Source organism: Homo sapiens, chromosome 1 (assembly GCF_000001405.40).
Source record: "Homo sapiens chromosome 1, GRCh38.p14 Primary Assembly".
In the NCBI taxonomy this organism is placed as follows: domain Eukaryota; kingdom Metazoa; phylum Chordata; class Mammalia; order Primates; family Hominidae; genus Homo; species Homo sapiens.
This window is the reverse complement of record NC_000001.11, coordinates 16,073,842-16,090,658: the sequence shown is the minus strand read 5'-3', so window position 1 is coordinate 16,090,658 and position 16,817 is coordinate 16,073,842. Positions and strand designations below refer to the sequence as shown.

Genomic DNA, 16,817 nt, shown 5'->3' with positions numbered 1-16,817 from the left:
TTTGACTCTCAGGGCCTGGGTGAGACCAAACTGTGTACCAGGCACTTCGTATGCGCCATGCACAGTGTACCAGGTACATCATATGTGCCACTCACAGTGTACCAGGCACATCATATGTGCCACACACCCTTGTACACAGTGCCCTTGGCTTCTTCTTCTGAGGCAGGCACCATTATAGGCCCATTTTACAGATAAGGAGATTGGGGTAGGGCACTGGGTAGGGCAGGAGATGTCCATCCTATGGGTCCCTTTCCTCTCCCAGAGAGCAGGCAAGTGAGGCAGGGTCTTGGATTGTGGCATGCAGGAGAGGCTGACGGCTCAGCTTGGGCTTGCACTGGCTCTGGCTCAGGGGGTTCTTGTAATCTAGGCAGGGTGTTCTCTCCTGGTCACCTTCCAGAGTTTCATTTCTTGAAGCAATGCGTCACAGCTGCAGAGTTGGTCTCCCCTAATAAGGATGTGAGAGCACTGGCAAGCAGGTCCCCGTTCCTGCTTCCTTGCATCTGTTTCTGGGTTCTGGGCATCTGTGGCCCAGGGTGTTTTGTGCTATGGTGTCCAGAGAGAGAGACAGGAGGCTTTCTTTGTTCTGCCTCAGTTCCAACCTTACTTTTGTTATGTTCAAAAGACAAGAGGGATGGACTTCACACACCATCAGGTACACAGTGGGCCATGCCATCAGGAAGAGGACCGGCTGCCTGACCCCAGTGCCTGCACCTCCAACCTCCCTCCCTCCCTCCCTCCTCCCTTCCTTCCTTCCTTCCTTACTTACTTACTTACTTACTTCCTTCCTTCCTTCCTCCTTCCTTTCTTTCTTTCCTTCTTTCCTTCTTTCTTTCTTTGACAGAGTCTTGCTTTGTTACCCAGGCTGGAGTGCAGTGGTGCGATCTTGGCTCACCGCAACCTCTGCCTCCTGGGTTCAAGAGATTCTTGTGCCTCAGCTTCCCAACGTGCTGGGAGCCACCACCCCCTCCCCCTCCCTTCCCCTCCCCTTCCCTTTCTTTTTTATTTTTTGAGACAGAGTCTTGCTTTGTCACCCAGGCTGGAGTGCAGTGGTGCGATCTCGGCTTACTGCAGCCTCCACCTCCTGGGTTCAAGCGAGTCTTGTGCCTTGGCCTCCCAAAGTGCTGGGATGACAGGTGTGAGCCACTGTGTCCGGCCTCCAATTTCTTTCTTTTTCTTTCCCCTGCCATCTTTCACAGGCATCCATTAAACCTTATTCTGTCACCCCTCTTCTATCATTTCACTGAGGTCCAAGCTGTGGCCTCCTCCTTTCACCTGGACTCTACCCACCTCCCTCTAGCCTCCAGCCTGGCCCCTTCCTGCACTCTCATCTGATCACCTCCTGCCCCAGTGCTGAATCCTTCAACAGCTCCCCTTTGCTTCCTGATGCAGTCCTGACTAGTGGCTCTGGCATTCAGTGCCTGCCCTGCGGAAACTGGCCAAGCGGTGAAGTACGTGGGCCTGCGGGGCCTTCCCCTGATAGCCAGTGTCCAGGCGCTGAGTCAGCCCTGTGTGTGGAGGTGAGGGAGGCAACGGTTGCACGAGTCGCTGAGGGGAACTGAGGCCCCGAGAGGGGCCTCAAGTCCCATGCTCCAAGTCCTATGGTGGGGAAGCTCAGCAGAGGCCCTGCCCCTTTCCCCTGGGTCTTGCCCCTGCAGGCACTGGGCCCCTGGGAGCCAAGTGGCCCATGGGTAAGGCTGAACCCTCCTCCTGCCCTGTTGGCTTCTCGAATCCTCATAAATCAGAGGTGAAGAGTGGGTGGCATTCTGTGCAAATCACCCTCAGTGCTGTGTGTGCCCATTGGCCCCGCTGCCCACCTGCCCACCTGCTGCTCCCCGGGGCCATGCGTATCAGGGAAGTAACGAGCCCAGCTACCCCTCACAGGCAGGTTCGGGGCACAGGTCCCCAAGGACTCCTCCCAACTCTGTCCCAGGGGAAGCCCACAGCTCGGCCCACTTCCCCCTCTCTGGGCAGTGAGGTCTCCACCCTGGTGCCCACCCTCCTGGCCCTGCCCAGGCGGCCTCCAGCAGGTTGTTTTCCCGGCTGGGCCTGGCTCAGCCTCCAGGGCCTGCCGGTCACGTAGCCAAACTCGTTCCTCTTCTCCTACTGCCCAGGCTGCTGAGCACAGCGGTTTCCTGCTGGGGAGAGCACAATGGAGCCCACCCCAAGGGAGCCACCCAGGGGAGGCGCCACCCCAGCGGGCTGTGAGCGCTGTGTGACCCAGGACTGGGCCCACGCCCTCTCTGAGCCTTGGTTTCCCTACAGAGAAGTGAGGAGGTGAGGCGAGGTCATGGGAGGCCACTCTCCAGTAGTAACAGCCATCTTTCCCTGAGCACCAAACCTACGCCAGGCCCACAATCCCCATGTCCTCACCGCCAGCCTGCGGGGCTGGGACAGAGTGAGGTTTATTCATTTGGTCACAGCCGAACCTCCTTTTTCTGTCCAACATCTCAGAGCTTCTTCCTGTCTCCTGTTTAGGAATCTGCTCTCCCTGTCCCCACCCCTGCCCTACCTCCCCCTCTTCCTCCCAGGAGGTGCCCAGCCCGGGCTGGGGTGGGGAAATGGGAGGAAGTGTTAGAAAGTACAAATTAGATCAGGGGGCACCTGGACCAAGGTGGTCCTGGTCTGCCCGCCCCAGCTGGCTGGCAGGAAGGAGAAGGTTTGGGAGCTGCGGGGAGAGAGACTGTGTGGGGAGGCACAGGGAGGAGGGAGAGGGACTGGGGAGGTTCAGAGGCTGAGAGTCAGTGGCCCTGCAGGGTTCTGTTCCTGCCTCCTCACCCTCCTGCTTCCGCCCTCAGCCCCAACAACCTCTTACTTCTCTTCCATCTAAAGCCTGGGACCCAGGGCCTCTCAATGGTGAGGAGGAGGGCTACCCTCCCCACAGTGACACCGCCCCAGGACATATCAACGAGCGGCCCTAGGCAGAGAGGACTCCCCAAGTTCTCACGACCTCATTGTGCCTCCCCAATTTAAAGCCATGTTGATGGGCTCCATTCCCAAGTCCTGGGTCAAGCTGAATTAACCCCAAGTTGGAGCACTGGAAAACTGTTATTTGCAAATATTATTGTTACCATTTAGAAATACGTGCACAACCTCTTTTGTCTTTAGAGAAAACTATCCACCTATAAAAAACTACCTTGACAAAAACAATTCTGGTTTGACTGATCATTTTGTTTCTTTTTTTTTTTTCTTTTGAGATGGAGTCTCATTCTTGTTGCCCAGGCTGGAGTGCAGTGGCACGATCTCAGCTCACTGCAGCCTCTACCTCCCAGGTTCAAGTGATTCTTCTGCCTCAGCCTCCTGAGTAGCTGTGATTACTGGCACCGGACACCAGGCCTGGCTAGTTTTTTTTTTTTTTTTTGTATTTTTTGTAGAGACAGGGTTTCACTACGTTGGCCAGGCTGGTCTCAAACTCCTGGCCTCAGGTGACCCACCCACCTCGGTCTCCCAAAGTGCTGGGATTACAGGTGTGAGCCACTGTACCTGGACCATTTTGTTTCTTTTTTTTTTTTTTTTTGAGACTGAGTTTTGCTCTTTTTGCCCAGGCTGGAGTGCAGTGGCGCGATCTTGGCTCACTACAACCTCCGCCTCCCGGGTTCAAGCGATTCTCCCTGCCTCAGCCTCCTCAGTAGCTGGGATTACAGGCATGCGCCACCATGCCTGGCTAATTTTGTATTTTTAGTAGAGATGGGGTTTTACCACGTTGGCCAGGCTGGTCTCGAACTCCTGATCTCAGGTGACCCACCCACCTCGGCCTCCCAAAGTGCTGGGATTACAGGCATGAGCCACTGTGCCCGGCCTCCCATTTTGTTTCTTTAAGCGGTAAGTGTATGCAGTGTGGGTCCTGGGCGAGCCAACCTTGCACCGTGGATGCATTTCTACGTCCACGTGCTATTCGAACAGAAGGCACCCTAAATAGAAATGTTGCTTTGAAGCAATATTTGCAGAACATGCAAACTTCTGTATTTGTATTTGGAAAAAATAAAACAGGTTCTTGTTGCTTAAGGAAAAAAAAAAAAAAAAAGAGCAAGGTGCCAGGCACAATCGCTTAGGCTTGTAATCCCAGTACTTTGGGAAGTTAAGGTGGGAAGACCGCTTGAGCTCAGGAGTTCAAGACCAGCCTGGGCAATATAGCGAGCCCCATCTCTACAAAAAACTTAAAAAATTAGCCGGGCGTGGTGGCATTACTACTCAGGAGGCTGAGGTAGAAGGCTTGTTTGAGCATGGGAGGTTAAGGCTGCAGTGAGCTGAGGTCAAGCCAAAAAAAAAAAAAAGCAAGGCCAGGCATGGTGGCTCGCACCTGTAATCCCAGCACACTTTGGGAAGCTAAGGTGGGAGAATGGCTGGAGTCCAGTAGTTCAGCCTGGGCAATATAGTAAGACCCTGTCTCTATTTAAAAAAAAAAAAGTGGCCGGGCGTGGCTCATGCCTCTAATCCCAGTACATTGGGAGGCCAAGGTTGGTGGATCACTTGAGGTCAGGAGTTCGAGATCAGCCTGACCAACATGGTGAAACCCCATCTCTACTAAAAATACAAAAATTCGCCAGGCATGGTAGCACACTCCTGTAGTCCCAGCTACTTGGGAGGCTGAGGCAGAACTGCTTGAACCCTGGAGGTGGAGTTTGCAGTGAGCTGAGACTGTGCCACTGCACTCCAGCCTGGGTGACAGAGAGAGACTCCATCTCAAAAAAAAAAAAAAAAAAAGGCACAGCCCAGACTCTCCACCTGACAGTGCCATGGTGTGTCCCCAGAAAAGTGGGTCCCCAAAGCGGGACTTCCTAAGAGCACTGCTGAGGTTTCTGGTGAGAACCAGGGACATGGGGAGGAGCAGTCCTTCCTTGGCAGGGCCTGGGAGGCTCCCTTGAAGGGAAGAGGAAGTGACTACCGTCCCCAGAGCCACATCTCTCCCCTCCTCAGTCCGAGGCCTGGCAAACACTCCTGAAGCCCACGACCCCCAGCCCTCCAGGATCAGAAGGCTTGACCTTGCCTTCACTCAGCCCTGAACTCCATCCTGGCCCAGCCAGGCCCTGGAAGTGTCAGCAGCAATTCAACCCTGAAGCCCAGGGTCCACAGAGGGAGCAGCCCCAGCCCAGCTGACCCACGCTCTCCTCCTCCCCTCCTATCTCCACCTCGAGATATGGAGACCTGTGCTCTGGATGCCCTCTCAGGCGATGGAATTTGGAATCCTAGCACTTGCCTCTTAGAGCCTCAGTTTCCTTATCCGCACAACCATCCTCTAAATAATCCCACTTCCTCAGCTGGTCGTGAGGACGAAAAGGGACAATGTTCATGAGGAGCCTCACCCAGCAGGTACAGAATCATATGAATGTTTATTTCTTTTTTCTTTTCTTTTTCTTTTTTTTTTTTTCTGAGATGGACTTTCACTCTTGCTATCCAGGCTGGAATGCAATGGCACCATCTTGGCCCACTGCAACCTCCACCTCCCAGGTTCAAGCAATTGTCCTCCCTCAGCCTCCCACATAGCTGGGATTACAGGCCTGTGCCACCACACCTGTCTAATTTTTTTTTTTTGATGGAGTTTTGCTCTTGTTGCCCAGGCTGGAGTGCCATGACACAATCTCGGCTCATCGCAACCTCCACCTCCCAGGTTCAAGCGATTCTCCTGCCTCAGCCTCCCAAGTAGCTGGGACTACAGGCATGTGCCACCATGCCCGGCTAATGCTGTATTTTTAGTAGAGACGGGGTTTCTCCATGTTTGTCAGGCTGGTCTCAACCTCCTGACCTCAGGTGATCCACCTGCCTTGGCCTCCCAGAGGGCTGGGATTATAGACATGAGCCACTGTGCACAGCCTAATTATTGTATTCTTAGTAGAGATGGGGGGGGGTTTCACCACATTGGCCAGGCTGGTCTCGAACTCCTGACCTCAGGTGATCCACCCTCCTCGGCCTCCCAAAGTGCTGGGATTACAGGTGTGAGCCACCGTGCCTGGCCAGGAATGTTTATTTCTAATTGTCTCGCTCGCCCTCTGTGTCTCCCACCCATCCTCTTCTCTCCCGCACATCTGGCTTTCTAATTTCCACTGTTGCCTCCTCTTTGGCCTCTAAGTCTGTGGAAGTTCCCCTTTCCTGACAAAGCGTGTCCTGGAGCCTGTTTCCTCTCACCATTCCCCACCTGGAGGCTTCTGCCCTTCCCAGCAGGTCTTAAGGCCCAGTTCAGGGAGCCGGGTGTGGCGGCGGGTGCCTGTAGTCCCAGCTACTTGGGAGGCTGAGGCAGGAGGATTGCTGGGGCCAGGAGTTCGGGCCTGCAGTGAGCTATGATTGTGCCACTGGACTCTAGACTGGGAGACAAAGCAAGACCTGTCTTTAAAAAAAGTGGAAAGTTGGGGAAGAATTTTTTTTTTGAGACAGAGTCTTGCTCTGTCGCCCAGGCTGGAGTGCAGTGGTGTGATCTTGGCTCACTGCAACCTCTGCCTCCTGGGTTCAAGAGATTCTCCTGCCTCAGCCTCCCGAGTAGCTGGGACTACAGGTGTGCGCCATCAGGCCCTGCTAATTTTTGTATTTTTGTGGAGACGGAGTTTTATCATGTTGGCCAGGCTGGTCTCAAACTCCTAGGCTCAAGTGATCTGCCCGCCTCAGCCTCCCAAAGTGCTGGGATTACAGGCATGAGCCACCACTCCCGGCCGGAATTTTTTTACAAGAAGGGAAAAAAGCCCCATTTGGGGACCTCCTACATCAGTCCCTTATCTCCCATCCCGGCAGGGAGCTCAAAGTTCCTACCAACTCAGGGAACCAGGACCTGGTGGCAAGGAGTGGGGGTGGCAGGACTGTAGAATCCACACATTCAGTGAGCTTGCTGGGGGGCTTCTGCCCACTGCTCTTCCCCTAGGAAGGAACATCTCGAAGGCAGGTGAGGCCTGGGGCCCACCCCTCAGCTGGCACCACCCTGACCTGGACTTGTGCCCCCTCCATACCTCTGCTGGGAAAAACACTTTCCCACAATGTGAGTTTCTCCACCCCCCCGCCCAGCCGCTTCTCGGAGTGGGAAGGGCAGGAGTGGGCTGGGCAGGGCTGGGCAGGGCTGGGCAGGGCTGGGCAGGGGACACCAGCTGGGCTGTGTTTGTTTTTGGGGTTTTCCTCTTAGACTGGTTCTCTAAACAAAAGGCCTGGATGGTTGTGGAGACGGAGCCAGCCCCAGCCCCTCCTGGGGCCAAGGGGGTTCCAACAGAAGATTATGTGGGAGGGGGGCATTTAGAGTCCCCCCAGGGCCATGTCGTCTTAGGGAACATTTGAAGCCCAGTGACACGGGTGCTACTTTCCTATTTTACAGAGGAGGAGACTGAGGTTCAGGGAGGCCCAGTGATATACTCAGTGAAAGCTGAGGAAGGGGCTGGCAGGGGGTGGCTCAGGAGGAGGGCTTATTTTGGGGTTGCACTGGGTGCTTGGCTACCCTCTCCTCCTTCAAACTCCCTCTGTCCCCTCGTTGCACCCTCCCCCCGAAGTCGTGTTTCCTTCCCCAAATCTCCCAGGCTGTGCCTCTCGCTCTTTCTTCTCCAGGCAGCTCCATCCTCAGCTTTGTCCTCATCAGTCTCCCCCAGGGTGGGCACAAGCCCCTGGCGGCAACATCCAAACCACTGGCACCAGGCCATAACCATGCCATTTCAAGAGTTTGCATGGGCCACGCTCTGTTCTAAAAGGTGTCACCCAAGATTAGCTGCTCAGTCCTCACAGCAGCTCTGGGAGGTGAGTACTCTTCTTATCCTTGCTTTGCAGGTGAGGAAGCTGAGGCCCAGAGAGGGGACGAAATTGACCATAGGTGGCAGAGCCCTATTCAAACCCAGGCAGCCTGGCCCCAGAGCCCACACACTTGCTTCTCCAGGTTGCCCCTCTGGCTCTCCAGCCTAGACCTCTGACCTGGGCTCTCCCAACTAAGGAGAGATGGGAGCTATGGTGGCAGAGGTGCCCCGGGCACCATCCCTGCCTAGCCCCCACCATAGCTCCCATCTCACTCTGCATTAGGCCTGGTTGCTCCATGACCCCACCCCACCCCCTTGGGTCCCATTCATTCATGGCCACGTCCCCATGCCCAGCACAGCAGACGTGGTACACAGTAGGGCCTCAGCATGTATTCTCAGAGGAACAAAGTGGATTCCAGTCCTAGAACCAGCCCCAGCTTCCCCAGAGTGCCCTCTGCTGGTCAGACCAGACACTGACCCAAGGCCTCCAGGCCACCAGCCCTCCTTGATCCTGGATCATCTAATAAACCCCTGGGTTTATAGAGCTCCTTTCTCCCACCGAGCTCAAAGCACTTTCCCATCTGTGATCTCTCTGGCCTGGGACCCGCCTCAGAAGTGTGGGAGGGCCCAGTATTCATCTCCCCATTTTACAGAGACGAACCAAAGCCTGGAGAGTGATGGGACGAGCCCCAGCGTGCTGCTGGCAGCTGCAGAAAAGAACTTACAGGTCCATTCATCCAGCCCTCTAGGGTACAGATGAACATACTGAGGCTCAGAGGGGAACAGACTTGCCCGGATGAGTCCTGGGCTAGAACCCTGGTGTCCTAAATGCCATCCAGGGCTTTCCCACGACATCAAGATCTCTGTCTACAGAGGCAAGGAGTAAGGCCTTGGCCAAGTCATCGAACATAAGGAGCCTGTATTGTCCAGTTGTACTTCCTGCTCTTGCCTTCCTCCCAGGGGATGACTGACAGGGAAGTGCTCCTGAACCGCTGTGAAGGCCACGAGGCCAGGTGAGGCCAGATGAGGCCAGGTGAGGTGGCGATCAGAACATTGGCCCCTACTGCAGATTTGGGCGGGACCCTCACCCCTGCCTGGCATAAACACCGACCCAGGAGGAGGCCCCCACCCAAAGCTTTGCTTTCAGAGGGGCCAGCATGCTGTCTGCTAGCCCACCCTGCCCTGGCTGACCTGGTGGGGGACCAAAGGTGAAAATAAATGCTTAAGCAGTGTGACCCTGAGCGCCAGTTCCTGCCCCCTGTTGTGCCCCTCCCGGCACTTCGGATTTGTCAACTTATTATTTATTCCGGGGACTTGTTAATGTTGTCTCCTCTGCCACACTCTAAGCATCAGAGCTCACTGCAGCCTCAACCTTCTGGGTTCTAGTGATACTCCCACTTCCGCCTCCAGAGTAGCTGGGACTACAGGCGCGTGCCACCATGTGTGGCTAATTAAAAATTTTTTTTTTTTTGTAGCGACAAGTACTCACTATATTGCCCAGGTTGGTCTCGAACTCCTGGGCTTAAGTGATCCTCCCATTTTGACCTCCCAAAGTGCTGGGATTAGAGGCGTGAGCCACCAGGTCCAGCCTATTTTCAGCTTTGAGGGCCCTGTCATCTCTGTCTACACCACTCTGTCGGGGGAGTGTGAGGCAGCCAGAGACAATAGGTAAACAAATGGGTGTAGATATGTTTCAATAAATCTTTGTTTAGGCCGGGGGCGGTGGCTCATGCCTGCAATCCCAGCACTTTGGGATGCTGAGGTGGACGGATCACCTGAGGTAAGGAGTTCCAAGACCAGCCTGGCCAACATGGCGAAACCCCCATCTCTACTAAAAATACAAAAATTAGCCGGGATTGGTGGCACATGCCTGTAGTCCAGTTACTCAGGAGGCCGAGGCAGAATTGCTTGAATGAGGGAGGCAGGGGTTGCAGTGAGCTGAGATTGTACCTCTGCACTCCAGGCTGGGTGACAAAATAAGACTCTGTTTCAGATAAATAAATAAATAAATAAATAAATAAATAAATAAATAAAATAAAACAAAACCTTGCTTACAAAAACAGACTGTTGGCCATATCTAGCCAATGGGCCATAGTTTGCTGGCCCCTGCTCTTATCTCCAGGACAGCTGGATCACTTCCAGACCATGGCTGCCGCCTGAGCTGTTCCCTCTGCCTTGGAGGCCAAGCATGGCTGTTCACTGTCAGCTATAACCCATTGTAGGTGCTGCTTCAATCAATATTTGATGAATAAAGGTGTGAACAGAGAGTAAAACAGGCAAGACCTCTGTGGGACTCGAAGGATGTGTGAGGTATGGACTGATTGTGACAGGGTGTGCAGCTTGTGCAAATGTCCAGAGGCAGGAATGGGGGAGATGCTCAGGCCCCAGGGGTTTCCAGGCTCAGAATCGCCCTGAAGGTCAAGATAGAGGGGACTGCCAAGAGTTTAAGGGCTGCCCCAGCATGATGATGGCTTGGACCACCTTCTCCCCCTCCTAGAGTTACTGGGAGGGTGAAACAGGACAGGAGGGTAAGGGTCTCCAGACAGCTCCTGACACGCAGAAAGGCCTCAGCTGCCATGATGATTATTGGTACTGTTTTTCTTTAGTTTGTTTGTTTTGTTTTGTTTTATTTTGTTTGTTTTTTTTTTGAGACGGAGTTTCGTTCTTGTTGCCCAGGCTGGAGTGCAATGCCGCGATCTCGGCTCACCGCAACCTCTGCCTCCCGAGTTCAAGCGATTCTCCTGACTCAGCCTCCCGAATAGCTGGGACTACAGGCATGTGCCACCGTGCCCGGCTAATTTTGTATTTTTAGTAGAGACGGGGTTTCTCCATGTTGGTCAGGCTGGTCTTGAACTCCCAACCTGAGGTGATCCACCCGCCTCAGCCTCCCAAAGTGCTGGGATTACAGGCATGAGCCACCTCACCCTGCCGATTATTGGCACTGTTAATAACCCAGACACCTGAAACTGCCCCTCAAGCTCCCACTAATGGCTTGACCTGGTCAGCAGGGCTCTCGCCGCACTGGGGCTGGGAGTAAACACCTGTTTACTCACCAGGCTAGGAGCTTCCCCGGCACAGGGACTGGATTCATCCGTGTTCCCAGTGCTCAGGACAGGGCCTGGCAGCATGGCTGTGTCTCCTGCATCAGACTTGGAATTCCCTAAGGGCTCTGTCTCCCCCATCAGACTAGGGGCTCAACTTTCTGTCTCGGCCTATCCCACCTAGTCCAGCCTGCTTTCCTGGGGAGGGCTCTGACCTAACATCCAATTCCAGTCGGAGCCTGGAAGTGAGAGTAGGCATATTCCGAGAACGGCCTGTGACTTTCTCAGGCTCCCCAGAAAGGCCCCAAGTCCTAGCCCCGGGGAAACCCCAGGCGGGGCCAGGACACCAGAAGTGACACCTAGCACCTGACTCCTCCAGACTGGAGCAGCGGGTCCTGCTGGCTGTGGTGTTCCAGTCCCAGCTGTGCTCCTAACTGGCCTTGGTTCCTTTCCTGGGGTTCAGTCTCCGCATCTGTACAATGGGGGTCAGGACCACGTGTTGTCTGACTTCAGGAGCCTGGCTAGGCTATACAGAGACTTTGTGCAAAATTGTAAAAGGCCTTCCCTCTGGGTAGATGCACCCTGTGAGTGCACAGCTTAGAGGAAGTGACACCTTTGTGCTAGGAAAAAACCTCCCTGTCCTGGGGCAGACACAGAGCTCTACACAACGGTAGAGCTCAGGGCTTTGGGACCAGAGCACGGGCAGGTTTTGGTCCCCTCCCACTCAGCCAGGCTCCTCTGTGCAGGGTGCAGCATGCACCACCCAGAGCCATGGCTGGGGCTGAGTTACCAGCAGGGTACTTTCTGGGTCAGCAGACGGCGGGAGGAAGGAAAAGGAAAGCAACAGAGAATGATGCTGTCTCAGGCTGCCCCCTGATGGCCAGCGGCTGCCTCACACTCACAGCTCTGGAAAAGCAACAGTTCTAGCAGGGGGGCTTCCTTCTACCTGCAGAGATCCTGAGATCTAGGAATTGGAGTACCAGCCCTCTGAACCTTGAGGAAGGGACCCTGTCACATAGCAGCCACCATGGGCCAGGACAGGGCCGGGCATTTTAGAGATGAACTCAGGGCGCCTCTTTTTTTTTTTTTTTTTTTTTTTTTTGAGACAGAGTCCCTCTCTGTCACCCAGGCTGGAGTGCAGTGGCGTGATCTTGGCTCACTGCAACCTCCGCCTCCTGGGTTCAAGCGATTCTCTTGTCTCAGCCCCCAGAGTAGCTGGGATTACAGGTGCATGTCACCACGCTGGCTTTTTTTTTTTTTTTTTTTTTTTTTTTTTGTATCTTTAGTAGAGACTGAGTTTTCCCATGTTGGCCAGGCTGGTCTCGAACTCCTGACCTCAGGTGATCCACCCGCCTCGGCCTCCTAAAGTGCTGGGATTACAGGCATGAGCCACCGTGCCCAGCCCAGAACACCTCTTTACCCATCAGACTGAAAGCTCCCAGGGAGGGGGCTGGTCTCACCTCAGTGTCCCCATGCCCAGCACAGTTGCCGTGTCTCTTCTGTCAGACTTGGAGCTCCCTGAGGGCTCTGTCTCCCCCATCAGACTGAGAGTTTACCCTTCTCTCTCTTTCCCTAGTCCAGCTGGTTGCCTGGGGGTGAGGCAGGGAGATGACCTGACACCCAACTCCAGCCAGCAGCCCCCAGTCCTGAGCCTGGAGCTGAAAGTGGGCCCATTCTGAGGTCAGCCTGTGGCCTTCTTTCTCAGCCTCCACCAAAAGGCCCCAAGTCCTGGCCCCTGGAACCCCCCAGGCAGGGCCAAACCTCCAGAGAAAGCAGGGAATTCTCCTGGAAACTCATGTGCACCTCCATCTCACCGAGAATGAATGGAGGGGGGATTTGGTTCACAGATGAGGAAACAAGAGATGTGCTTTGGACAAAGACCAGATTCCACTGTGAGGCCCTGCAGGAGCTGCCACCTCTATCCTCCTCCCAGGACCTGGTCCCTCCCTCCCACCTCCGGACCGTGGCCATGGCCTAGCCTCTCTGCCCAGCCCCTCTGCCTTGGAGGCCCTCCCCTCTCTCTACCTAGCTAAATCCCACCCATCCATCAGCTGTGGGCTCTGTCATTGTCATTTCTCTGGATGTGCCTTTCATGCCTGGGACCAGATGAAGTCCTCTTCTTCACTCTCAAGGGCTCCTTTCTGAGCGCTTCCAGGGCCGTGATTCTAAATGTATCTGGGTCATTATTGAATTAACACCTGCCTCCCCCACCAGAACCATAAGCTCCAATGAGCGGGGCCCTTGTCCGTCTCATTCATGTCGTAATCTCGGCACAGACTGCGCTTGTCACACAGCAGGTGCTCAGTGAGCAATTGCTGGATGAATGAAAGGTTGAATCAGTCCTGGCTGATTGAACCAGTCCCACGTTCTAGATATGGGACCTTGGGCAAGTCTCACTTTCTCGCATTCATTCAGCAAATACTTATTGAGCATGGATCTACTGCATGTTGGTTTTGGCACAGGATTCAAACCCAGATCTGACTGGCTTCTGATGCTGTTCTCTTTCTGCTTTTCAAGCTCTGCCCTTCTTGCGATGTTTGGGGCCTGGGGAAGGGGTCCAGCCCCACCCTCTCCCACTGGTCCCTGGATGTCATATATGCCAGTCTGCTGTGGCCCCCTGCCTCCAAACATTTGTGCACACAGAGCCTTCTACCACCAACAGCCCACTCGACCTTCAAAATCCGCTTCTAGGGTCACGATCGCCTGAAAGCCATCCCCATAGCCCTTGGCAGAAGTGACTCTCCTGTCACACACTTGGCTGGCATGGAGATGCAGCACTGTCCACCCTGACCCTGCGCTATTTATGCACGTGGCTCCTGCAGCGTCCCCGCCCCACCCCCAGGGCTGCCAGGGCAGGGCCTGGTCTGATTCATCGCTGTAATGGTTGGCCTTGATTAATCTTTCTCTGATCAAACCCTGCAGCAGCTCCTCTTCACGCTCCAGTGCCCAGCCAATCAGGGCCAGGCACTCAGGGCTGATGCATGCTCGGAGCAAGGCCACCGGAGTGGGGGTTCTGCCTGGATCCCCGAAATCATGGCAAGAGAATGGGCTGCTAGGTGTGAAGGGCACAGCCTGGACACTCTCTCCTCTCCACTCTAGCCCAGCAGCGGCATGGCAAAGAGGGCCCTGGGGGCGGGCAGTGGAAGGTCACAGGGCAGATGGGCTATGGGGTGAACTGGGAAAGGACAGTGTGGCCCCGGGGAGGACAACCACACAGCTCAGAGCTGTCTGGACATCGTCTACTTCAGCAGAATTCCAAGGTGAATGTGAGCGTGCAAGGAGAGCCACCGGCCCTGCGTGGCCTGGTCTCAGGCTGGTGCCAGGGCTGGGCTGAGAGGCAGGAGACCTGGGTTCTAGTCCCCGCTCTACCACTGATTTGCTGTGTGACCTTGGGCAAGCCCCTGCCCCTCTCTGAGTGCCAATGTGTACAAGGAGAGGATTGAGTCAATGTGGAACTGACCAGCATGAACACCAGAGGCTGGAGAGCCAGATCTCCAGCCCAGCCACATCTCTGAGTGGGTCAGCAAGGGACCCTAGGTGGGGCCACTGCCTTGCCCTGCCCTCCTGTCCCTGGCTTAGGCTAAATGGGGCACAGTGGGGTGACCAGGCATCCTCTCCCCTGTGAGCTGCCCTGTCGTCTTCTCAAGTGTCCCTCTCCCTGTCCCATCTACCCCCAAAGCTGTCAGGCTGCCAGCAGGGAGCATCAGCTGCCATGACGGAGCATCCTGCGTCATAGTGAGTCAGAGCCCTCCTTCCAAGCCAGATCCAGTCACTCCGTGACAGGAAGAAGAGAAGGACACCACTGCCTTTACAAGCCCAGGCCACACAGGACGGGACCCCAGAGCCTGGCACAGGCAGATCCGCCTTTCCTTCTCCACACAAGGGCAGGCACACACCTGGCACCAGGGCATCCAAGGTGATAGCAGGCTGTCCTTTCTGAGCCACCCTCTCCAAGGCCAGACCTGGAGGGTACAGTTAGGGGGGCTCTGAGCAACTGTGACTGAATACAGCGCTGACTCAAGGATTGGCACATTTGTCTTGTTCACACTGGCACACAGTAGGTGCTTTATATGCATCTGTTGAACGGAAGTTCTCAGACTTCCCTGTGGCTGTCGGGAAGCTGTGGTGGAGTAATAACACATCATACCTGTTTGTGTTCACTATCACTATTATTTATTTTTAGTCCTAAGTTGAGTACCTACTACGTGCCAGTGATTTTGCATATATTAATTTCATCAGCCCTCACAGCAATCCCACGAGGTGGGATTTTTACCCTAAGTTAACAGATGAAAAATCTGAGACTCAGAGAGGCGAAGCAACTTACCCAAGGTCGCACAGCTTGTGTGAGCTAAGCCCTCATTCACCCAGGTCTGCTGACACCAGGGCCAGGCACAGAACCGCTCTCCACCCGGACTTTACTGGGCAGAGAGCACCTAGCTTAGAGAAAGAGAAAGAAGTCAGCACCCACTCCCTGGCTCAGCTGCTCTGGCAGTGCGCCCTGGCCCAGATCCTGCCCCTTGAGAGGCCTCCAGCCCTATCCCACGCTGCTGCCTCAAACCTTATTCATTCTTTTTTTTTTTTTTTTTTTTTTTTGAAACAGAGTCTCACTCTGCCGACCAGGCTGGAGTGTAGTGGCACGATTTCGGCTCACTGCAACCTCCACTTTCCCGGGTTCAAGCAATTCTCCTGCCTCAGCCTCCCGAGTAGCTGGGATTACAGGCTTGTGCCACCACACCTAGCTTTTTATTTATTTATTTATTTTGAGATGGAGTTTCTCTCTTGTAGCCCAGGCTGGAGTGCAGTGGCATGGTCTTGGCTCACTGTACCCTGGGTTCAAGCAACTCTCCTGCCTCAGCCTCCTGAGTAGCTGGGATTACAGGCGCCCACCACCACCATGCCTGGCTAATTTTTGTATTTTTAGTAGAGACGGGGTTTCACCATGTTGGCTAGGCTGGTCTCAAACTCCTGACCTCAGGTGATCCGCCCACCTCGGCCTCCCAAAGTGGTGTGATTACAGGCATGAACTACTGTGCCAAGCCCACACCCAGCTAATTTTTTATATTTTTGGTAGAGACGGAGTTTCACCATATTGGCCAGGCTGGTCTCGAACTCCTGACCTCAAGTGATCTGCCTGCCTTGGCCTCCCAAAGTGCTGGGATTACAGGCGTGGGCCACCGCGCCTGGCCCCTCCTTATTCATTCTTCAAAACATTTCTCTGCTGCCACCAGTGAACCTGGCTGCCTCAACTGGAAAACAGACACAAGAGTGCCTGCCCTGCCTGATGCACAGGTGGGCATGAAGGAGAGAGCGAGATGCTATGTGTGAGTGAGGGTCTCAGACACTGACATTGAGTGCTGTGTGCATGGGAAATTTTGCTAAAGGATCTTCACACCTCAGGAGCTGGGATGTGTGTGTGTGTGTGTGTGTGTAAATGCAAGCGTGCTTCAATGTGAGTGTATAACTGTCATTGTGTGGGTGTGAGTGGGTATGTACACATGGGAGACTGTGTATTCATGTGTAGGTATGTGAGTGTGTGTGCGTGTATGTAAATGCAAGTGTGCATATATATGTGTGTGTATGACCATCAGTGTGTGAATGAGGGGTATGTACACATGGGAGAGTGTGTGTGTAGGTACGTGCGAGTAAGTGTGAATGACTACAGAGGCCGTCCAGGGCTGGGGAAAAAAACCTGTGCCTCAGTTTACTCTGCCCTAGACAAGCCCTGAGAGGCAGCCTTGCCCCCCTCTTCAACCATCGCTGGAGACCCTTCATCCCGCCGCCAGGCCACCAGCGCACTATCTACCCGCACTCTCTCTACCCCACCTCTGGGCATATATTATTTTGCATATGTTAATTTCAATAGCTCTGAATGAGGCGCTGACAGTCAAAAGTCGCTGAACTCACAGCTTAGGGCTCTCAGGCAAGGCCTCTAACTTCTGCGAGCCTCACTTTCATCCTCTAAAAATAGGCCCAATGGAACTGTTGTTCTTGCGCGCACCCCTCCTCGCTCCCAAGCCTTCGTGCCCAGTCGTCGTTGGTGTGGTTAAATTCATGTTGTTTACTTTGTGCCCCAAATGCCAGGAGT

The 16,817-nt window shown here is 54.4% G+C and overlaps 3 annotated features.

Annotated features, from left to right (window-relative positions):
• Nucleotides 7,316–8,248: an enhancer, noted in NCBI's record as "H3K4me1 hESC enhancer chr1:16408906-16409838 (GRCh37/hg19 assembly coordinates)". NCBI's record gives its function as "activates a minimal SCP1, AML or CMV promoter by ChIP-STARR-seq in naive H9 embryonic stem cells {active_cell/tissue: H9 hESC(naive)}" and the evidence as "EXISTENCE:reporter gene assay evidence [ECO:0000049][PMID:30033119]".
• Nucleotides 8,298–8,797: an enhancer, noted in NCBI's record as "H3K4me1 hESC enhancer chr1:16408357-16408856 (GRCh37/hg19 assembly coordinates)". NCBI's record gives its function as "activates a minimal SCP1, AML or CMV promoter by ChIP-STARR-seq in naive H9 embryonic stem cells {active_cell/tissue: H9 hESC(naive)}" and the evidence as "EXISTENCE:reporter gene assay evidence [ECO:0000049][PMID:30033119]".
• Nucleotides 16,246–16,745: an enhancer, noted in NCBI's record as "H3K4me1 hESC enhancer chr1:16400409-16400908 (GRCh37/hg19 assembly coordinates)". NCBI's record gives its function as "activates a minimal SCP1, AML or CMV promoter by ChIP-STARR-seq in naive H9 embryonic stem cells {active_cell/tissue: H9 hESC(naive)}" and the evidence as "EXISTENCE:reporter gene assay evidence [ECO:0000049][PMID:30033119]".